The sequence below is a fragment of the Homo sapiens genome, chromosome 8 (assembly GCF_000001405.40).
Source record: "Homo sapiens chromosome 8, GRCh38.p14 Primary Assembly".
NCBI classification, from domain to species: domain Eukaryota; kingdom Metazoa; phylum Chordata; class Mammalia; order Primates; family Hominidae; genus Homo; species Homo sapiens.
Genome location: NC_000008.11, coordinates 56,154,987 through 56,178,981, shown reverse-complemented (window position 1 = coordinate 56,178,981; position 23,995 = coordinate 56,154,987). Strand labels below are relative to the sequence as shown.

Here is a 23,995-nt window from a genome sequence, read left to right as displayed (position 1 = left end):
GGGGATTAGACTTGCTCACAGGGATGGGGCAGATGCTAGAATAAGGAACCCAATGCAACAATAGCAATTTGCCAGCATTGTTGGGAAGAGGACACACACAAGCTATCTAGATTTCCCAGCCTGTAGGCGCAGCTCAGTGTCACAGAATCAAGGTGTAGCAATACTTGGAAATCCAGGCACACGTGGATTTGGTACCAGGTAAGTCTGTCAGTACGACCTTCAAGATAGGGTAGAGGTTGAGAGGCCAGGACCCCCAGCCCTAGGACGGGGAGACTGGAAAAAAAAACAATGGTGGCTGTGACAGATACCAGGGGATGGGCTCCTGAACTCTTCACTGATGGCAGATGGGGGAAAGGAGGCCTTGGGCAGGGTTTCACAAGATACATCAACAGAGCTTGATCAAATCAAAGGTACACGAATTAATCGGGCTAAAATTTTCTATAAGAACAACATTCTATGGGTTTAAGCATCAACACCGTTAGCATTAAAATTTTAGCTATCAGTATACTGTAAATATTTTAGCTATCTGTATACTATAAAAATTTTAGCTATCTATATGCTATAAAAATCTTTAGTGTTAGGGGTTATGGATTTTTTTTTTCTTTTTCTACTTTACTGTAGTTTTTAAACTTGTTTTCAATGAAGTTGTTTTTTAGTAGCTAGAAAAAGGAAAAATGACTAGTTTTACTTAGCCAAACTAAATTTATGCAGGTTTTCTCCTTTTTTATTCTCCTATATCTGTAATCAGTTGAAAATTTCCTCTGATATTTTAAACATGATCCTCACATTTTATTTTCACATGAAGGATACCCTCTTTTAAAGATTTTGAATTTTACTTTGTTCCTTTTTCCTTCCCATAGAACTTCACTGGCTATTTCTAAATGATAAATCATGATCAACCTGTAGTTCCATGTGCTTAAGGAGCTATGGAACAGGACATTTAAAGCAGAAGTGTTCTAAACGTCCAGGCTGGCTGAGTGCTACCCAGGTTTGTATCCGTGCTTGGCGGGCTCTGGGTAGCACGTGCCTGAGACTCCCTGGCTTTTGAGGTCTGCCGAAGCAGGTGACGCCTCTCCTGGGGACACAGAAGCAGTACGGACTCCCAGGTGGCGGTGGTGCTTTCCCTAAGTTCCTACCTCTCTGCCAAAACAAACTAACCATGTATTTCTCTGGGGCTTGTCTTCTGAGCTTGCTTTATAACCAATTTGAAATTTCAGGAGACCTGAAACATAGTTACCTGCTAGCTTTGATTCCTGAAATTTCCTTAAAGGGACCACAGTTCTGTTCAGCAAATGTCTATCAAATGTCTGCTACATGCTAGGGTGCTGACCAGGTGCTAGGGATACGAGGATGAATAATAGTATCCCTGCAGATGAATTTACTGTCGCTGGGGGAGAGACAGGTCAGACAGGTCATTTCAAGAAGAGCTTTCCAGTCCATATTAAGGGTGAAAGGTTCAGAGAGGTAAGGTTTTCAAGGTCATTCTTGATCAAATAGAATTGGTCAAGGAATATAGATAACAAACCTCTTCTAATTGTTCCAGCCAGGAGAGTACATGGGGTCCTCTGGAGGCAGAGGAGAGAGCGGCTACCCTTGACATGATGGTTTTGCCTAGAACTGATCCTGTTTACCCTTAACTGTGTGGGAATAAATAGAAATAGTTGTTTCTAGAAGTGATTTTATCCTGGACATGCACATGAGCATAACTTAGGGAGGACAGATGGATGGTATGTGCAGACCTGAACCAGGCCATGAATTCTGTTTTCATTACATTTTTTAGTACTACTAAAGCATCAGCACATACACAACATTTATGCCATAGCACAAGCCTGTCTTTAAAGTACACTTTACTTTGAGATGGCTTAAAACTAATTTCTGCTTGAGCTTTTATAGATAAGTACAACTTATATTTATAGCTAAGTAAAACTTTCTTTAGCACTTTTCTTATAAAGTGTCTGATGTCTGCCTTTTTGTTTGAATTTATAGGCAGATTCAGTATGGGTGCTTGACAGTTCAGACATGAAATCTGGATTATTCTGTATTTGCGATTTTAATAGCATTAGGCAATTTACTATACATGAATGGAGGCATGTTCTCTAGATATTTAGGTTCCTTCATTGTGAACATTTTTATAGTTGGTGTCAAACATTTTTGTTGTACCCCCAGAAACTTAATCAGTTACTGGTAATAAGATCAATAACTTACCACAATTTGGGATACATACAGTTTTCAGATTGAGCTGACCTGTGGGCTACCTACTTTGTAATCAGACCAAGATCACCAATATTTTGGGACTGTTTTATAGAAAAAAAAAAAAGCACAGGAAATTATCTAAAAATAGAGTATTGATTAAGCAGTCTTACTTTGCATTCAGATATAATTGTCCTTCTTTGCTCTCTGAGGCATCATTGCTTCCCTTTTGCACAATTTCTTTTTCATTTCCTCTTTGAAAATACTAATGGCCCCATGTGAAAAAAATGAAAATATCTCAGTGTTGTACCACCCATTGTATTTTTAAGTCTTTTTATTTTGATAAAAATACACAATCATAGGGAACCCCCCACCCCCACCCCAAATAGCAGTTGAAATGAAGTGCTTCTAAGTTGTGGATCATTAGAAGGGAGCTTTCAGTTGGGCATGGTGGCTCACGCCTGTAATCCCAGCACTTTGAGAGGCCAAGACGGGTGGATCACTTGAGGCCAGCAGTTCGAGACCAGCCTGGCCAACATAGCAAAACCCCCATCTCTACTAAAGATAACAAAAAATTAGCCGGGTATGATGGTACATGCCTGTAATCCCAGCTGCTGCGGAGGCTGAGGCATGAGAATCGCTTACACCTGGGAGTTGGAGGTTTCAGTGAGCCGAGATTGCACCACTGTACTCCATCCAGCCTAGGTGACAGAGTGAAACCCTGTCTCAAAAAAAAAAAAAAAAAGAAAAGGAAAAGGGAGTTTTCAAAAGAGAAAAAAAACTTTTAACTTAACGTGGCATTTTTGCTCTATAAAATAAACAACCAAGGAAAATATGTCTGAATTGGGAGATAAAATTTACTTGATACTCCTTCTTCATTGGGTTATCTGTTCATTCTCTCTGGCTACTCTAGAAAATGAGTGGCCTGAAAAGGAACATCCTGCTTGTACAGATAAGAGAACTGATATTGGGGTTTTCTGATTCCACTTTGGAATTCATTGACTTTTTCCTGTTGGTTCTTACAGACAAAAAGTTATGCCATTTTTCCCCTCACTTCTCACTTCTCAATTAGTTTTTATTATCTGTATACTAAATATAAGACATTTCTAAACATCAGTAAGGCTAATTTTTATGGTAAATTTCAAAAAGATGTCCTAGAACTATATTTTAATGAATTGCTCAAAATGAGTTAAAAATATAAAACGCAGTAATTCAAAAAGGGCATCCTTATTTTTGATTAACTTTAGTTAACTATGACATCTAATTTAGGAAAGTAAATAGTGTAGTTTTCCACAATCCAGTTATAAAATGCATTTTTGGGGACCTGCTGTAAACTCAGGCGAGTTAGGTGCATGTCTTGGCTATGTCTCCTGCTTCACAGTAGTTGCTCCAGCTCCTTTCTGTTCCCCTCTGTAGGGACCAGCAGCCCCAACTGAGAGTCTCGTCCTTCCTGCCCCATACCAAGGACTAATGCAGGCATCAGGCGTGTTTTCACTTTGGAAATTTTTATTACGAATGGGAGCCAGACTGATGTTATCTACTTGTATTAGTTGATTTCTTAGTATTAAGATTAGAGAATGCTTGTTTTCTGAGGCAAAATAAGTATTTTTAGATAACCTTTTATTACAATTGCTATTGTTTTAATCTAAGACTTTTCAAATAGCTGCTTAGTTTCAAAAAAAATACTGTTCTATTAGCTTATTCAATTTGTTGGACCAAATTGTGTTCATACTACATTATCTTTGACTTGAATATAGATACACAGTTGTCCCTTGCTATCCATGAGGGATTAGTTTCAGGACTTCCCTGGGATACCAAAATTCACAGATGCTCAAGTACCTGATATAAAATGGCATAGTATTTGCATGTAACCTATGCACATCCTGCCATGAACTCTTCACATCATCTCTAAATTACTTATAATACTTAACACAATGTAAATACTATGTAAATAGTTGTTATACTGTACTGCATATGAAATAATGACCAAAAAAGTCTGTGCATGTTCAATACAAATGCAGTTTTTAAAAAATATTTTCAATCCATGGTTGGCTGAGTCCATGGATGCAAAACCCACAAATACAGAGGGTCAACTGTAAATTCTATCTTATGTCTATTATGATGACTAAGCAAGCCTGTAGGTCATTGTGATGCTGGTAAGCACTTGGCCCTGTTTTAATTTTTTTCATTCATTCAACAGTTACTTTAACTGCCTTTTATGGGAAACAACAGTGAATAAAACTGGCACAACCTCTCTGCCCCTGTACCGTCTGCAGTTGATTTTTCATTCTTAGGTTTTTATAAGATAGTTTTTTTCCTGTTATTTTTCACTAATAAGTGATTTTACAGACTATGGAAAGTGAATGCTGTAAAAATTTACAAATTATGCAGAAACACCGAAGTTATTTCTTAAAAATGTTCTAAGTATACTGTTGCCCTTACTTCAAAACTGACTGCCTTCAGTTGGGTTATCTTAGTAATAGATTCTTTCATATTATTCAGAACTCTCTTGTGTTTCATACATGTAAATTACAATATTAAGAACTGGTAAGTTTCTTTTTGCAACCTACTTTATTTACTCTATATGGAAAAACCTGTTTTAAGGAAATTTTTTGACATCTTCTGAATTACTTACTAAAGGCATCTTGTAAGCATACAGGAGAATAAAGCTTTGATGCTTGATGGTATTTGCCCTTAATTAGCAAAATCTGTTTGACTTTTAAATATGAAATAATTATTGATGCAGGTAAGTGAAAAAATTCACAGCTCTTAGCAAAATGATTATCAGAACTATGGAATTTAAAATAAGCAGTTTTAATACAGGCCTGTTCTTTTGCTGGCATCTCATAGGAACTGATTTTAGTAGACCCTCTGATGTATGACTCATTTTGGCTTGTTAGTTTTTTATATGAGTCACTGTTTTAGAATAATGTAAAACATCGGAAGATAAATCTGGGTGTGTGTGCACAAACACGCCATACTCTCTCTATTGTTTCTGTATGCAAAGTTGCCCTGGAAAAAATTGCTTCTTCTGGTACCAACAAAAACTAGAAGGGTATTCTGAACTGCTGTTCATCTTAGAGTGATTTGAAATGGGTGTATGTATTTTCTACTTTGGTTCACAGTTCATCAGACCAAGGCAAAGGAGAATTTTCGTCACTTGAAAAGCACAATAACCAATCTTTGTGAGTTTTTTTTTTTTAAGTAGAAAAGAAAAACATGAGTACCAAACCAAGTTTTGTTGCACTTTTCAGAATAGTACTCCTGGTGCTTTTTAAGTTTTTCTTAATCCTATACAAGAGAATATACAGATAATTTTATCTAACTTTTCAGTTAGGATTACATAAATACAAACTGTATATTTTTTATTATATCAATCCAAAGAATAATTTCTAACCAGTCCTGCTTTCTTTTTTGGGGGGAGATATTTAGTAGAACTTTGAAATTATTTGGCAACTCATAAGAACTCAAAATAGGTTCAATTTAGGGAAATTAAGAAATTCAAGATTATGTTTTGGGATAAAATAAAATGATTGGCTGTGTTATTTTAGACTGTAAAATACATAGAATGGGTGATTTCTAGACTATTGGAATATGTCACAATATACATAATTTTAAACTGTGTTGAAATACTTAGATGCTAAAGGTTTTTATTGTAAAATGTCATTGAACAATAAGCATAAATAAAGATTTTATGAATGTATTTGAGAATGCAATAAAATTTATATGGATTGGAGAATAAAGGAAAAAATACATAAACTTATTGTTTACTAGTTAACTTGGGTTTTCAATTTGTTTCTACCCAAATCGTTTTCCACTCAGACAGATGTATTAGCTATTACTTTACATTAACAGTTGTTTAAATTATTTAAAACTGCCTTTATAAACTGTCTTTTAAACTTTTTAAGTCTTAAATTTATTTCCTTTTGGATATTTGGCAGCTCTAAAAGAGAAAATAGGCACTATCCCCTCTTTTGATCTTTTAAGGATAGTGACAGGATTTATCCACTTGCAAATTGGTTTGCTAACCTGCCTTGTCATAGAAAACAGTAGAATAAAAGTGAAGTCACAGTTTTAGGGCATTCATCCCTTCTTTATCACACATATGCTGTCAAGTTGTTCATCTTCTGTGGGCCTCTCACCTTAAAATGGCAATGATGGTAAACACATCCACCTCTCAGATTCATTGAATTCCAGGGAGATAATAGAGATGAAAACACTCCACACGTGTCAGGTATTTATATTCTTAAAATAACATAATACACAAAATGGTCTTTCATATTCGTAATTACCCTACAAAAAACTCAGTATGTGCCCTGGGCAAGTAAGTATTTGCAAAGTTAATGTTATTATTTTGTAATTTTGATGTGCAGAATTCCGTTCTTCCATTTATGCATGTCCTGTGCTTTACAAAAGAATGGAGCTTTTGCTTTAATGTTTAAAATACCTTTATAGGTCTAAATTTTTGCTTTTCTTGTCTTTTAAACTATAAAAAAATGCTGCTTTCAGATATACCCTTGGCATTTTTATAATGATGCTTGAATGCCTTCTATTAAATACTTTATTTAGACATCATCAAATTCTTCAAGTATGAAAGTTTTATTACAGGGGATATTTTTAGATTTGTGTTAAGAATCTGAAAGTTATTTTTATTTAACCTGTCATTAACATATCTGTTATTTTAACTGTTTGATTTAATTATCCCTTTATAATCATGATTTCTGAATGTTCATCTTTAAAATACTCTGAGTTTACTGATCTCTCATGCCTTGTGCTCTCTACAATAGGTGATTCTATTCTGCCTTTTGACCGTTATTCTTTTCATGTTTACTTGTACGATCAAGAATTAACAGATTGTTTTCTGTGTGTGATCTCAGTCTACTAATGATCATACTACTGATAAACATTATAAGCTACTTTAAGAGTTTTCAACAATGACCTCTTAAACCAAATGATGCTCTCTTCCTAACACCCCTTTCTTCTGTAGCAAATCTATATTTAACTTCTCTTGCATGCTTTTGAAATCTAAAGAGTGCAGAGTTGTTGCTACATTTCAACCATCCTTGCAGCATCCTGAAAAATAAATTGGCAGGTGTTGCAGATAGCAAAAGTGTAGCTCTGAGAGGCCCCCGTTGTGCTAGTGTGCACAGTATGGGCTGAGTGCTTTCACCGGGAGCCTGTTGTTCTTTGGGTGGCTCCAGATGTACCCTCCGAAAGGGGCCTAAAATTGTCACTTCCATAATATTAATAAACTTAATAAAATTTTGATCATTTGGTTTATAAACAGTAGCCCTAATATCCATTTCAGTAGGTAAGTCAGATTTTAGAAATAAATAAATTTGGGAAAGAAGTGGGGAGTCATTCAGCATCACAAATTGCTATTTATCTAGGTAATACTTTTTATTTATGCATTTATTTGGTCACGTAAATGTGCTTAGACCTAATAAACATATGTAGTTGGTGAAAATTAATGCATGACTCGTAAGCAGAGTATGGAATGTAAGCATGTGCCATGAAACTGCAATTCTTTTATCCTGTATTTTCCATCATTTACATACCGGTTCCATTTAGAGGATAGTCCATTTTCACTTTTTTTTCATAGATTGGCCAAAATGGGAAGGATTGGATTCCACTCTCTTCCACGAAGAGTCAATGGGACTGGCTAAGATCAAAGTCTGAGGCTTTTTCCATCAGTAATCAGGTATGCATTGAACTAAAAATCACTATAATTCTATGCATGCACCTTTAAAGTATTTGACTGATATGCATATTATGAATGTGGTCTTTTATTAGATTTTGAGCTCACAACCTTATCCTATAGTTTGAAATGCACCTATGATAATTAATTTGAGTTTTGTAATATACTAAAATAAAAAGGTATTATCAGCCATGAAAAAATTTCAGCTGGTCTTAGAAAAGTGTAATATTTGAAATCAGTGCAATCTTCATTGCTCAGTATGTACATCCAAAGATAACAGAATTCATTTGTTACTCCATATTGATTATCACCAATTTTAGTAACAATCAAATGTTTGTATATTGCATATTGGTGCACTTCTAATAATTTTTTTTAATAACTTAGAAGTTGTTTTTCTTAACTGGAATTCTTTGCCCATTATGGTTGGATTTTATAACACAATGGCAAATATGACCAGTCTTTGAAGTATTTTCAGATATTAGTTATATACAGGGATTTAGATACTTGCATTCCATGTAGATTCTGCAATTGGGAAATGTTCAATTTGTTTCCCACGATGTTCTAAATAGGTGCATAAAAGTATCAGGTTAGGAAATCAAATAATGAAAATTAAGGTTTGTTTCCTGCCTTGGTAGAATGCTTTATACCAGTTTATAGTGTCATTACTGGTCACAGCAGAGTAGCTGTTTAGATATTTCCAAGGGAAGCAGAGGAGCTAGCTTTTGAATGAGAATATAACAGAAATAGAGCAAGAAGCCCTTGAGATCCAGAAAATCTAAAACAAAAAGAACATATGTTACCATTGGTAATGTCAGTTGCATTGTGTTAATGTCACTTTTAAACAGCAAGGCGGATTTTTAGACCGTTTGAATAGCACAAAGGCCTTGCCTGTATCTACCTAATAAAGAAAGACACCTGAAGCAAGTACTGATGAACTTACCCATATGCCTTACTATGTTAATAAAGTGAGTGGATAATTGCTGTATTTTGCCTGTTTAGAAACAGCCTTTACATTAAAATAAAGTTAGACCTATTGTAACATAGAGTTAATTTTACAAAAATGTAGGTATTTAGAGCTCCTGCGAAAGTATAACTGGAATCCGTGAAAGTCAGTCTAATAGTAACTTGGTAGTAGCTTGGGACAGCAAGTGTCAGTGTCAGTCTGGTGCCAAAACACAGGTGATATAAGGAAGTTGGTTTTAAAAGAGGTTGCAGGTATTATTTCTATGGTCTCTTAAAAGTACATCACAGGCCAGGTGTGGCGGCTCACGCCTATAATCCCAGCATGTTGAGAGGCTGAGACTGGAGGACTGCTTGAGCCCTGGAGTTCAAGACCAGCCTGGGCAACATATTGAGACCCTGTGTCTACAAAAGATAAAAAATAATTAGCCAGGCATAATGGCATGTACCTGCAGTCCCAGCTACTCGGGAGGCTGAGGCACTTGAAGATAGCTTGAGCCCAGGGAAGTCAAGGCTGCAGTGAGCCATGATTGCCCCACTGCACTCCAGCCTGGGTGACAGAGTGAGACTCTGTCTCAAAAGAAAATAAGTACATCACTCAACTAGCCTTTATAAACGTTGAGGAATTGGAACTTTGAGGAGTTGGTTTTCTTACCCTAGAAACAGAGTCGATAATATTTACTATGTTTTGTCGATGAATTTTTAAAGGTTTTAATTCATTTTTAAATTTTTTGTTTAAAAAGATATACTCCTTGCTGTACAATATGTACATTTCATTCTTTTTTGCAGCACCAATAACACATTGAAACTCTGACACACCTTTTTACCAACCTTAAACACCTCTTTGATGATGTGTTGTGTGCCATGTCAGAAGTCCACACAGGTCTGCTGCACACAGGTTGCAGGTGTGTCCAAAGGCCAATGCCCTCAGCTCTTGGGGATGCCTGCTGACTCGTTTACCTACTAACCTCAGTGTGCCTAAAATTTTTGTGATGTGAAAAACGATGAGGAAAATTACATTAACCATGTCTTTCTCCCAAAATGACAAAGAGCCATGCTCTTCACCTAATAAAACATCAAAAGGTTTTACTATTTGAAGAATTTGTATTTGTTAGGAAGATGAATCATTTCTACTCTTGACTCAGGAATCCCTCAGAGTATGATGACACTGGTATAATGCATCACTTCGGGTGGTGCATTCAACTCTTTCAGGCCTCTAGTGTCTCTCCGTGAAGTACCTCTTCCACAGACTCAATGGTTCACAAGGTGCCTAAAAGAGTTTTCAGTTGCTTATCTCTGTTTTCCTATAGTGCAGTCTGACTAGAGCTGACATGCACAAATCAAACTGATTTTTAGAGACTGAAATATTTGCTGAAACGTTTTTAGTCAGATTTTATGTTCTCTGATCTTTTGTAAAAATTGAAGCTTAATAATGCCACTTTTTAGAGTCATGTTTTGATTCTTCATGAGAGTTCCTGAAATCACTACTGCTATGCCTAAGTAAAACATGTGTCAAGTGGAATTTCAGGGTATGTATGAACTGTTCATTCTGAGCAATGCATTTCTATGTATTTTGACAAATATAAAGAAACCTATGGGGTTTCTAATGTAATGTGATGATATTACATTAGACCAGCTGAATCCATTTTATTGGTTTCTTTTTTAATTCAAAAGCATCACATAGCAAATAAAATTTTTAAAAATTGAGTTTAGTTACAAACTAGTTGTTTCTTATTTTTTTTTCCAGTCCCTTTTTGCTTTCTTTTACGACCACATGAAACTTGAGAAGCCACCTAAAGCTATATCATTTAGTGGAGTTGGGCAGTTCCCAAGTGTCCAACAAGAAGGCCTGGTTTAGGCTGCGATGGCCACTGTCATTCCTGGTGATTTGTCAGAAGTAAGAGATACCCAGAAAGTCCCTTCAGGGAAACGTAAGCGTGGTGAAACCAAACCAAGAAAAAACTTTCCTTGCCAACTGTGTGACAAGGCCTTTAACAGTGTTGAGAAATTAAAGGTTCACTCCTACTCTCACACAGGAGAGAGGCCCTACAAGTGCATACAACAAGACTGCACCAAGGCCTTTGTTTCTAAGTACAAATTACAAAGGTATTAAACTCTATTTGTCTTTCAGATTATATTTTCTCTTATGTTGGCTGTTTGAAGCCATTGTAAACGTATGTATTTGTATACACATTTTTCAGCTAATTTGCAAAGAGGAAATGTTAAGTAGATTAGACATTGGTTTAGTTTTTAGTATTCTAAATCACATACTTTTATGTGTTAGTGTCTTTGGACTTTTTAAAATAAAATGCTTAATGAGTAGAATTTCCATTTGTAGAAAGAAATTACAACAAGAAAAGGGTAAGGACGTTTACGTGAGTATATTCAGTCTTGCTCATTTGCTTTTGTAATGATAGCTGGAAACCAGCAAAAACTAAAGTGGCAACTTAAATGGCTCAAGTTTTGCAGTAATTAGGTATATTAACTATCCTCGTGGTATATATTAAGTTAAACAGTTTCCATTACTAAGGGAATTCTGTGTTAGCATAGTAGTTTAGCTTCCATTTGAAAAGTGAATACATGCCATTTTTGTCATAATAACTACTTATAGATTATATCTGTGTTTAAAGGCACATGGCTACTCATTCTCCTGAGAAAACCCACAAGTGTAATTATTGTGAGAAAATGTTTCACCGGAAAGATCATCTGAAGAATCACCTCCATACACACGACCCTAACAAAGAGACGTTTAAGTGCGAAGAATGTGGCAAGAACTACAATACCAAGCTTGGATTTAAACGTCACTTGGCCTTGCATGCCGCAACAAGTGGTGACCTCACCTGTAAGGTATGTTTGCAAACTTTTGAAAGCACGGGAGTGCTTCTGGAGCACCTTAAATCTCATGCAGGCAAGTCGTCTGGTGGGGTTAAAGAAAAAAAGCACCAGTGCGAACATTGTGATCGCCGGTTCTACACCCGAAAGGATGTCCGGAGACACATGGTGGTGCACACTGGAAGAAAGGACTTCCTCTGTCAGTATTGTGCACAGAGATTTGGGCGAAAGGATCACCTGACTCGACATATGAAGAAGAGTCACAATCAAGAGCTTCTGAAGGTCAAAACAGAACCAGTGGATTTCCTTGACCCATTTACCTGCAATGTGTCTGTGCCTATAAAAGACGAGCTCCTTCCGGTGATGTCCTTACCTTCCAGTGAACTGTTATCAAAGCCATTCACAAACACTTTGCAGTTAAACCTCTACAACACTCCATTTCAGTCCATGCAGAGCTCGGGATCTGCCCACCAAATGATCACAACTTTACCTTTGGGAATGACATGCCCAATAGATATGGACACTGTTCATCCCTCTCACCACCTTTCTTTCAAATATCCGTTCAGTTCTACCTCATATGCAATTTCTATTCCTGAAAAAGAACAGCCATTAAAGGGGGAAATTGAGAGTTACCTGATGGAGTTACAAGGTGGCGTGCCCTCTTCATCCCAAGATTCTCAAGCATCGTCATCATCTAAGCTAGGGTTGGATCCTCAGATTGGGTCCCTAGATGATGGTGCAGGAGACCTCTCCCTATCCAAAAGCTCTATCTCCATCAGTGACCCCCTAAACACACCAGCATTGGATTTTTCTCAGTTGTTTAATTTCATACCTTTAAATGGTCCTCCCTATAATCCTCTATCAGTGGGGAGCCTTGGAATGAGCTATTCCCAGGAAGAAGCACATTCTTCTGTTTCCCAGCTCCCCCCACAAACACAGGATCTTCAGGATCCTGCAAACACTATAGGGCTTGGGTCTCTGCACTCACTGTCAGCAGCTTTCACCAGCAGTTTAAGCACAAGTACCACCCTCCCACGTTTCCATCAAGCTTTTCAGTAGGATTCTGGGACATGGATTCATTACAGAAATGTATGTGTAGCTGTGCCCTAGATGACCATTTTTATTTTAGTGCCTACTTTAAAACAGTATAAAAATTTCTGCTTTTGTATAATACAAATTTTCATTAAGCCAGTATAAAATAGAAACTAGCTTTTAAACTGAGCTTTGGAACCATTTGTGTTCAGTTAAGTTTACCTGGGTATTTTGTCCTGATTCACTGCCAATTGTCACATTTTAAGACTTTTTTTTTTCCATATAGGAAAGCCATTATTAGTAGTAAACTTTTACAAATCCCATTTTCAAATTACTTTTAGATCTTAAAATTTTCATTTTTGTCTAATAACAGTGGCTCTACCTTTTGACATCTGGCTCATTAAAAAATTTAGCAATAGAATGTAAATTGTATAAAAAGTTTGTGAATAACTCAAGGGTTTAAATTTTCTTACTAGCTTCTAAATGGATTAATAATCAAGTGCTTCAAATGAATTAAGAGTCCAGTTTCGGAAGATAATAAATGTTTGTTAGATACACCATAATTTCAGATCAGTATATTCTGAAGACTCCCTGTTGTCTGGCTAAAATATTTGCCATCTTTATTATGAGCCTTTAAGGAAAACAAACCCTAAACACAAAGCATCAGTATTTATAGCAAAAAGAGACTCTGTTAGGTGACATGGCATTTCGTGTCACTTAATAGTTGGCCCTAAATTAGTACACAGGATATTTTGTCGTGTTTCATCCTTCTTAACATGCTATCTTTTCATTTAATAATAGTAATAGTGTATGGCATTGGGGTCTTCAGAGTCGATATATAGGTAGATCTCTTTAGTCTTTTCCACCTTTCACATCCAAGGGGTGGGTCAAGTGCAGCCAGCAATTTATTTTCATTGTTGGCCCACGGTTAGTCCATAATCTAGAGCCATTGTGGAACTGCAGCCATGAGGTGTGTTTATCCCACAGTGGATTGACTCAGCCTCTGTGGGTGACAGACTTCTAAGCAGGAAGATAGACGTGAAGCACATGGTTACATTTGGGAACTTGTGTAGGGATCATGGCCCCTGTAGCCAGGGTTAAAAACTGGACTTTTTAGAAGTAAAGTAAAAGCATATCGCTTATATCATTTCTTGCTGAATTTGATATGTTTTTCTTTCCCTTAAGAATCAAAAGCAGAAAACAAAAACAACAGTCCTACTCCGATGTTATCTTTCTGATTCAATGTGAATCCATCTTTCCTTGCAATATTTTGGATGGAGAATTTGAAGTTAAATGCATTAGAAAACTACCTGATGAACTACCACAAAGTTTTAAGTGACTAGAAATATATACAGTAAAATCCCACTTTCATGCATCTCTGGGAAATGATAGGAGTATTGCAAATAAGTTGAGTTTGTAGAGGGTAACAAAGTAAAGTAAAACAAACCTATCTTGGTTAACATGAAAATAACAATTGAGAATATATTATATTCACTGAATAATTATAGGCTTTTCCTCACATTAGACAACCAACATAATCTTCTTAAAGGTCTAATTAATATATTTTTCTAAGGGTCAGTTGGGACATTAACCTAAGAAACATATCTATTAAGCACTTGTTAACACCTTATTTTAGGACCCTTTCCGTTGGGGATGGGGGCAAGGGTGGGAGGTTTTTAGAAGAGTATATATCTCTTTAAAAAAAAACAGAAAGAAAAATATTTCTGAGCACTCATTAGCCCTATATGGAAACTTCTTTCCTTTTTGTAGGGCCAGTTATCACTGCAGATTGCAATGTTTACCAAGAATTTCTAAAAATGAGTGCAGATTACTGAATATAATACATTATTTAAAATATTTGGGAGTAGTATAATTTGTGGAGAAATGTAAATTGTAATAATGTAAATGGGGGCTTCAATATATATATATAATACACACACACACACACATGCACACATACCGCACTTCATAGAATCAAAGTTGCTCTCTGAAGGAGCTTTGGCTCCTGATATTTTATCATGCTCCTATATTTTTTTAATCCTTGGAGCAGTAGTTTTTATACTTATGTATTTAAATTTTATTATGAAAAATTACATTTATTAAAAAAGTGTGTTCCAAAGGCATTAAAATTATATATGTTAATAAGGAAGTACATTTTTAAATTTTTCAAACTGCTCCTAGCTTTTGATTAGGAGAATATTTTTTCTGAAAGTAGGCTTTTCGCTCTGCTTCATTACTGCTTCCTTTAGTTTCTATGAAACAGATTGCTTACCTAAATCTTTAGTTGAATGATTAGTGTTCAATATTGCTTTAATCACCATATAAAAGGAAAAAAATTGGTGACAGAGCACAAATAGAAAACCTATTTTTAAATAGAAATCACAAATAGCAAGTGTGGAAGCACTACTTTATTCTGTTTAAAATGTACTTAAGAAGTCATCAAATTAGTGAACTGAGACATTGGCCTTAGTAGGCTGTATTCACTGCTAATTTAAAAAAGGGAGTACCAGGATTTATTAAGTAAAGCATTTTGGAAATGGGGAATAGCGCCATATATGTATGTATGTGTATGTGTGTGTGTGTGTGTGTATATATACACACACACACACATACTTAAATCTTGCCCTGCATGAAATTCAAATACATGGAGGCACATCTTCAGGGCACCAGTGTTAAAATTTTGGAGTCTTAATTTTCATGTGTACACCTCTTTGCCTGTTCCCACCCCCAGACTTGAAATAACACTTCAGAGTAAGAGGGAATTCAGCTAATTTGTTTTTAAAATTGACTGTAGTGGTCACTAAACCCTTTTTGAGAGAATTTCTATTAAAGATGAGGCAGACTCGCTTATTTGAATTGCACAATGTTCTAACAAGGATGTAACACAGAATTGGCTTTTTTTTCCCTAGAAAAAGATTGTTTGTTTCTATGTCAACTAGATATGATTAAAAATAAGTATTGCCAATGCTGTTTTCATTCTCTAGTGGCCAGAATCATTATCCTTGAAATTTCTGGTAGTGCCTTAGCTTGGTTAAAAAAAAAAAAAAAAAAAAAAAAAAGGGATTAACATTAAATAAAAGTAGTTTAGAATTTGGGCCTCAGACAAGATATTGAACCTCATTCAGTTTCACTTCCACATGTATGTACAAGTTAGGTCACCAAACACGGAAGTGTGAGTGTGGAAGGATCTTGGCACTGTAAGCAATGCTATCCATTGATGTATACAAGTACCTTTATAGTTATCGATCACTGTTAAAACTTTCATTTTAAAATCCTATTACCAAGTTCAGTTTTTTAAAACTTCAATTGTCCTGGCTGATTATGCATCACTCTGTGTGCAACTTTTTTATTTCATTTAGTGTTTCTTTCAAGCTGTGTATTTTTGCCTATTTGTTGCTTGTGCTTTATTTTTCTTAGTCATTTGTGGAATATAGTGATATATTGTGTTAATTTGGACAGTAGCGGTTTTTAAAAACCATATACTGACTGAAACATGAGCCAGAGCCGATTGCTTTATTAAGCTAATAATGAATGTTAAAGAGTACATATTTTCAGGATCGTTCATCTAGTGAGCAATACACATATTATAGGCCAATATTTTTTTAAAAAATAGAGCTTGGTCAACCTCTATACTACACATATTACAAGATATAGCACTTTCAAAATGAATCTAAACCTTTACAGAAACTTTCTTATAGGTTATGCCTTTTATTTTAAGACTTATTATAATTCAAGTGCCATTAGATGATATATATGTAGGCCTTTGATATATAATGCTTTGTGTACAAAAATGGTAGATGGTATTTTAAACAGGTACATTTTTACAGTGTTTTCTTATCAATTTGCTATATTGCACAGAATCAGTGTGTGTCTTTTCATAAGGTTTTACAATGGTTTATTTTTTTACAAGGTTTACGTGTCTCAAAGCACACTGTCTTCCCAGTACGTAAGTTAAAAAATACCAGTTCACCCAAGTTGCTTCTAGCCTACTGAGATCCATGTGACATTGGAGGAGATCTTTTAAATGTTTAGTATTCGTCATTAGCAATGGCTGGCTGTTAGTTCTGGTAAATGTGTGCCTAAGTTGAATTTGTCTTGTTTTTCTCACACTGTGTCAGCAGCCATGTCTACAACACAGATAAGTCTGTTGTGATCACATAGATCTACATAAGTTGTGCAGTTTTGTGCTAAAAACCCATAGGGAGCTCCTTTGGGATCATAGAAAAGAAGATCATGCAACCAGCATTGGTGAAGGCACACTCAGATTGCACTTAGGGCCTTTCTATGATGTTGTCAACCCTCTGAGGATGGAAGGCAGTGTCTTTTGATGTTATCTAGCCTAGAAATGACACAGAACTATTGCTAATGTATAAAACACTTCATTATATAAGCTTCAGTGGTACAGATGAACCAGAATGAATGTTTATCTTCTCAGAAACACTCCTTCAATATTATATTGGATCATGCTGCTAATGTAACTTGGGCTACAACTCTTCATGGTGCTACAAACTTCTCTGTCTCATTCAGTCGTATTTTTTTATCCATAGAAAAAGGACTACATTAGGTGTAAAAGTGTACAATATATTTTTATACTGTGACTTAATTTGTCATTAACAAACTTTTACACCACCACAATGTATTCATGTGCACTTGCAAAAGGAGATCTCGGACATGCAAATGTTACCAGAACAAACCCAGCTTTTGTCCACAAGGTGACTGTAACTCAGAATGGAAAGTGGGCTTTATAATAGGGTGTGGAGTGAAGAACATGCTGTATGTTACTAACAGCCCTTTGAATTTAACAAAAACTGGGAATCCATTAGGAAACGGATTGCATCATACCTGAACATAAGCTGGACTGCTGAAATTGTATTTTTAGCTAATGAAAAAGTGTTTGGACTAGTACTCTAAAAATGTTCTAATGATAAAGTTTTGAGTCAAAATAGAAAAGAAAAAAATCTGCATTCCAGGCCGAATTTTGTATATTTTTATTGCATTTAAAATTGCTATTCTGTAATATTGGGAAATCAAGTGGCTTATCATGTATATCGTGTACTTAAAATGTATTCACAAACTACTGTTGTATTTGTATAAAATATAGACAAAGATCATATTTTTTGTGTGTGTATAAGCTCTGTAAAATAGCAATCACATTATGAAGCTGCAGTGATACTACATTTTAAACATTCACATCCAAAGAAGCAGACTATTTATTGTCCATATACCAGATTTAAAATATTAATTTGCTGCTAATTAAATAATAGTACTGCAGCTTCTTGTGGCCTACAGTGTTATGTTTGCTGTAAGAATAAGATATGTGAATTCCACAAAATATATGAATAAAATTATAGAATGGCTTTAGATAATGTAGATCTTCCTGAAATTTTAATAGATGATACTTTTCTATTTGCTATCACATTTTTTCTTCAAATTATAAGTATTTTCTCGTTTGATTAATAGTCTAATAGCTGGGTCTAGGACAATATTGTTGAAATGTAAAATCTAGGTTTTTGGTTTGTTTTAAAACTTTTGTATCTTTAGAGGAAGGATAGAAATTTTAAGTTAAAAAAGTCAAAAGGTGATGCATCAAAACTTGAATCCAGATGAGTTTAGAATTCAAAAAAGGATATTAGTTGCTTGTTTCTGGGAGATAAAATTGGTATTTAGCATTTATTTAACATTTATTGTTTGTCAGTACTAAAATTATTCTTTCAGAGTTCCCTTTGGGCTGTTTGCCTAAAATTTTGCTGAAGAAAGCTCCCTTGACAACTTGTGTGGACCAAAATGGCAATCACACACATATTTCAGCTAAAACTCATCTGCTAAATGGTCAGCAACACAGCTTCCGGGACAGGTGTTAATTCTAAAAATTCGGTTAATACCTTTCCAGGAACCAACTGTAGAAATAATTTGTTATGTATCTCATAGCACCTCTTTCAGTATAATAGGAAAAATTCTTCCTTTACCTTTTTGACTTTCCTATTTTCAGAGGGGTAAAGAAAATGAACATAAATCCAGTGTGGCAATTCCTTCCTCTTTTCACTTGTTTAATTTCTGCAAATTAATGCAGTATTTCTGTATTATTAGAATTAACACTAAATATGTTTTAAATTCATATGAAATCGTTCAAGGACTTCACAGAAGGAAAACACTTGTGCCCTTTTGCCTTTTTCAGAATATGTCTGCCATTCTTTGGAGGAGCTAGTTTTACCTTAAAGAAAATGAAAACACTTTTCTCCCTGATATACTGTTAACAGCATAGCACATAAATTCCCAGGTTCTTTCTGCTTGAGAAAAGGAGTGGGAAAAGAGCACGGTGCTTGATGGAGACTGTATCCATGAAGGAATGCACAGAATATCTTCTTTACTGTAGTCTTTGGCTGCCATTATTGCAGATGAAAATGAACAATTTTTTTATGTAAACAGGCTAACTGCGTTACTCAATAGATAGATACTTTAAATGTAAACCAATGTGTATTATAAATGCACAAGTGGAAAATTCTATAAATTTGAATCTTTTTTTTAAACAGGCAGATAGTCCCTTTGAAATAACACCTGAGTCAAGGTCTTAGGGTTTTGAGAGAATGAGAGTGGGAAGAATAAAGGCCCCTCACATAAGGTTTTCTGCTTTATGGTATTAGAATTATTGGAAAGGTATTACTTTTGGTTTATTCTATTTGTCATTAGAGAACTTTAATAATTTCTTGAGGCTCCTTTCAAAGTGTTGCTAGTGCAACTAGTAGTCTTACCGGAATAATGTTAGTAAACTGCTGTTTCTAAAAATAATTGATCTGTTATTAGGATTCACACACACCTGATATTTTTAAGCAGGTTCCTATAAACAGATTCTCATGACCTAGGAATGTTCATTGTGTAAGGAAGTTAATAACCTAAGCCATGATGCCCTATTTAAAGATTTTTAAGTTATGTCGGCTTTTCCCACCCCAGAATTAATGGTGATCAGTGGCTGTAACAAATATAAACCCTGTAAGTGTCTTGAAGACCATATTGTCTAATAACTCCAGCCAGTAAGTTCAACTCATCCCCAGCTTTCTGAGTTAAATTTTTTTTTGCAGTGGTAAAGTGCTACTTTTGTATTTTGTCATAAATTCTTTTATTGGATATGTCCATATTTATTCCTATATGCTAGCTTTATTGAGTTAGTTAGTGACCCTGAAAATGTTCCTCCATCCTTAATAGTACCTGCGCATTTCCTCCTCTGCCTTTTTCCGTCATTATCTTATGGAGTTACTCACTGTTCCTTATACTGGAGCCTGTGCTTATCTGTCCCTTCACCTCCAGTTGTTCACCATCCCTGGAATGCGGGATTTCTCCTCCTGCACGAGAATTCCACGTGCCAAAATCTTACCCATTATCCATCCTCCAACCCTTTTTTAATTATCTCTCTTCCACAAAGCCTTCTGGTCTCATTCACTGAACAGTAATTTATTTTCCCTCTAAACATATATTACAGTTGATTAGATCATCTCAGAATAATATTTTTTCTAGTACTTGAGGGTAAAACCCTATCCACATAGTTCCAAGCACAGGGTAGATAATCAAGTATTTGTTGGATGCATGACAAACAGTGCTTCCCTGAAAGACTCAGCCATTTTAAGATTTAGGAGACTTTTAAAAAACCTTTTCAAAATTTGACACTAGAAATTAATTAATAAAATAATTTTGACATGGGGTATCTCTGTTCTATGGAAAAGTTTGTTTTATACCCTGAAGAGTGTGTAATCATCCTTAAACTTCCTTTTGTTCTGGTTTTCTGCATCAGTGTGAAGAGATGCTACACGTGTACTGTCTCTTCACAAGTACATCATCACTAAATGCTTTCCCTACAATGGACCAAAACTAGGGAGCCATTGAAGATTCTAATCCTCCTTTGAACTTCAAAGGCTCATTAAGCTCTGAATTAGACGGATAAAAAGAAAAAATACACAGGTCCCAGAGACCTACAATTTGAAAGAGAATGAGACTTACCTGAAACACTGAAAGAAGTCAGTGGAGCCAGGTGTGGAAGTTATCAACCAGGTGTTGAAGCAAAAGACGAGTTCTGATACGTAAGGATTCAGAAAGTATACTTTGTATTTTTTAATTACAAATAATCCAGAGAAGCAAAAATCGAATCAATATGGACATCTCCAGAAAGCAGAAGGTAAACGTGGTGATAAGGAGTTACCAATAACTCGGTTAAATCTAAATTATTGATAATTTGCTAGTGAATAAGTATTTTTGAAAGTGATTGATGCTAATGTAATATAAATATTCTCAATGGCTATTTGATAAACATAAAAGTGGCTAGGGTTGACATATCAAGTTCCTATCTCCCCCTCCCTCTCCCTGCTCTCCCCCCCCCACCCCCAGCCCCCACCCACACAAAGGAATAAAAGACCCCTGTTAACCCTTTGGAGACATACATGGAACCACAGAACAAGGTGCTATGGAGTTCGAGTTGGAAAATCCAGTTTGGGGAGCAATTTAAAGCAAAAGTAATACAGTATTTTTCTAGTGTCCATGCCAGTTATTTCATGTTCTTGTTTTATTACATTTACTAAAACCTCCAAGAAAATACAATGGCGATAGGCATTGGTGTCTCATTCCCGACGTTAACTGAAATGAATTTTTTTTTTTTTTGATAGTTAAGATACTCTCTGATAGTTTGGGGAAAATCCAGGCGTTTCTCCTATAACATCGTTTCCTGAAGAACTTTATATTCTGTAAACACTGCGCACGAAATAACGGGGCTTACCAACGAGGAGTGCCAGAACCTGCCGGGCGGACGCCGGGCCAGGGGCTAAGAGTCTGCGGCACCTGGACCCTCCTCCCTCAGGGGGTTGGGCCGGGGCGCCCCGCTCAGGGGCGGAGCAAGGCGGTCTGGCGCCCCCACCGCAATTTTGTGCGGAGCGCAGCTCGCCCTGCATGGGCGCTCCGGCCCGGAGGCAACCTGTACCCACCAGCCTTCTCCCGCGTCCGCTGCGCCGCTTTCCCTGGCGCGCGGGTCTCGGCCGCACCTGGCTGCGGGCTCCGCGCCCCGCGCTAAGGACGCGGATGATGCGGGGCCTGCGGCTCTGGGACAGCCCGGACGGCCTAGGTGTACGACCTGGGGCGGCGTGGATGTGACGCCTGCATTCGGCCCCTCCTGTTAGGAAACCCCTTCTGAGCAGAACAGACGGCTGCCTTTATCACACGCAAGAATTACCAAGTTTGGCTGCCGACTTCTAGGAAATGCCTTTTCAGCATCTGTTGATGCGTCCACATAGGTTTTTCTACTTTTCGTTTATTGGTGTTTTCATCTTTGTTGAAACAGGTTGGCATTTTGGGAACTATCTGCTTGTTGTCGACACATTACTGGATTCTCTATGCTAATACTTTGTTTAAACATTTGACTCCATATCAATATGTGAAATCGGTACCTAGTTTCCTTTTTACTGAATTTATTAGCCTTTGGAACTCAAGTTATTTTGGCTTTAGAAAGACTGGTTGGGCGGGGAGGAGGGTGGAGGATGGGGCTGATTTTCTTGCCGTTCTGGAAGAGCTTAACTATGGGAAATTCAGCCTGCTCTATAAAAGGCGGATGGTGCTTGAGGCGCCCCTTCCTCAGGGCAGTTCCTCCTTCCCATCTTTACTCAGGCAATTGCTCACTTCAAATGCTCCAGTTGTTCTTGGATCCATTTGGGGACTTGGAATTGCCAGGAAATCGCCTATTCCCTGCAGAGTCTCACCTGTGCTGCCACAGGATTTGCATGCTGAGAGTCTTTCATCTCCACTGAAAGGAGACTCCCTTTTATGTCTGTCGCCCTTCTAGTCTGACTTCACCAAGCTGACACTCAAAAAATCTCACCATCATTTGTGATGTGAGATTTGTTTGCTTTAATTTTATGTGTGTGATAGTTTTATGTGTGTGATAGTTTACTATTGGTTTTCAATTTTCACCTAATCTAACATTCTTTGTCTTTAATGAGTTTATTCAGTTCATTCATAGTTAAGACTGATTTTATTCCTCTTACTCTGTGCTTATTACTTTAAGGATGGTTTCTCTTTTTCGTTTACCTTATTTTTCTGAGTTTGATAGAGTTGTTAATCATTCCACTTCTTCCCTTTTTTAACTTTGATGTTGCTTTGTATGTTTTAGTCTCTTTAATCACTACAGTCCCTTTTCCCCTGCTTTTTATTTTTTGTTTGTTTTGTTTTTGTGTTTTTGAGATGGAGTCTTGCTCTGTTGCCCAGGCTGGAGTGCAGTGGCGCGATCTCACTCACTGCAACCTTCCCCTCCCGGGTTCAAGCCATTCTCCTGTCTCAGCCTCCCAAGTAACTGGTATTACAGGTGAGTGCCATCACGCCTGGCTAATTTTTTGTATTTTTAGTGGAGACGGGGTTTCGCCATGTTGGCCAGGCTGGTCTCGAACTTCTGACCTCAGGTGATCAGTCTGCCTCCGCCTCCCAAAGTGCCGGGATTACAGGTGTGAGCCACCACGTCCGGCCTTCCCCTGCTTTTTAATTCTTATCACACATGACTCTTCTTTTATTTGTAGATGAAAATACGAACTATTTTCCTCCATTGAGAACGCCCCATAACACACTAATTCTTCCCTACTCCTTTTCTCTACCCTGTTCCTCACAAATGGACCCATTTACCACCCCCACCTACACACACCCCATGGCACACTCTAATATTTTGCAAGGAAACTTTAGCATTATTATTTTCCATAACTCTGGATGACCATCTAATTAAATGTATTCTGATGGCGGATTAAGTGCTATAATCTTTATTTCGTTCTTTATTATCATTTCTCTTTCTCTATTGAGATTTCCTATGTGTTCATTCAGTGAGCATGTACTTTTATGTCTTTCAGTATCACCTTCAGATCCTTTTCTGCTGATCCCAGCCATTGCTCCTTCCCAGGGTCTTCCCACGGATCACCTTTTCTCTTGTCTATGGCTCACATGTTCCTGTTCGTCGTTGTTGTTGTTGTTTTGTTTTGTTTTGTTCTGAGACGGAGTCTTGCTCCCTCACGCAGGCTGGAGTGCAGTGGCGCTATCTTGGCTCACTGCAACATCCGCCTCCCAGGTTTAAACGATTCTCCTGCCTCAGTCTCCCAAGTAGCTGCGATTACAGGTGAGTGCCACCACACCCAGCTAATTTTTGTATTTTTAGTAGAGACGGGGTTTCACCATGTTGGCCAGGCTGGTCTCGAACTCCTGACCTCAGGTGATCCACCTGCCTGGGCTTCCCAAAGTGCTTGCGATTACAGGCATGAGCCGCCTCGCCCAGAC

The 23,995-nt window shown here is 36.8% G+C and overlaps 1 protein-coding gene across 6 annotated transcripts in view, besides 2 other annotated features; it reads left to right on the top strand.

Annotated features, from left to right (window-relative positions):
* PLAG1 (PLAG1 zinc finger) overlaps positions 1 to 18,073 on the top strand; it is a 50,365-nt gene extending 32,292 nt beyond the window's left edge. For 2 of the 6 annotated variants that reach the window (NM_001114634.2, NM_002655.3), the window contains 3 exons: positions 7,793 to 7,891; positions 10,596 to 10,954; positions 11,479 to 18,073. In NM_001114634.2, coding sequence (NP_001108106.1) covers positions 10,713 to 10,954; positions 11,479 to 12,739 — 1,503 coding nt within the window. In that variant the 5' untranslated portion in view covers positions 7,793 to 7,891; positions 10,596 to 10,712 and the 3' untranslated portion in view covers positions 12,740 to 18,073. The other 4 variants (XM_017013576.2, XM_047421867.1, NM_001114635.2 and 1 more) reach the window with 4 other exon arrangements.
* Positions 11,114 to 12,313: an enhancer, noted in NCBI's record as "BRD4-independent group 4 enhancer chr8:57079228-57080427 (GRCh37/hg19 assembly coordinates)". NCBI's record gives its function as "activates an origin of replication core promoter dependent on BRD2, P300/CBP, MED14 and CDK7 cofactors, and independent of BRD4, by STARR-seq in HCT116 cells {active_cell/tissue: HCT116}" and the evidence as "EXISTENCE:reporter gene assay evidence [ECO:0000049][PMID:35650434]".
* Positions 21,672 to 21,791: a silencer, noted in NCBI's record as "silent region_19210". NCBI's record gives its function as "represses an Ori minimal core promoter by ATAC-STARR-seq in GM12878 lymphoblastoid cells {active_cell/tissue: GM12878}" and the evidence as "EXISTENCE:reporter gene assay evidence [ECO:0000049][PMID:35858748]".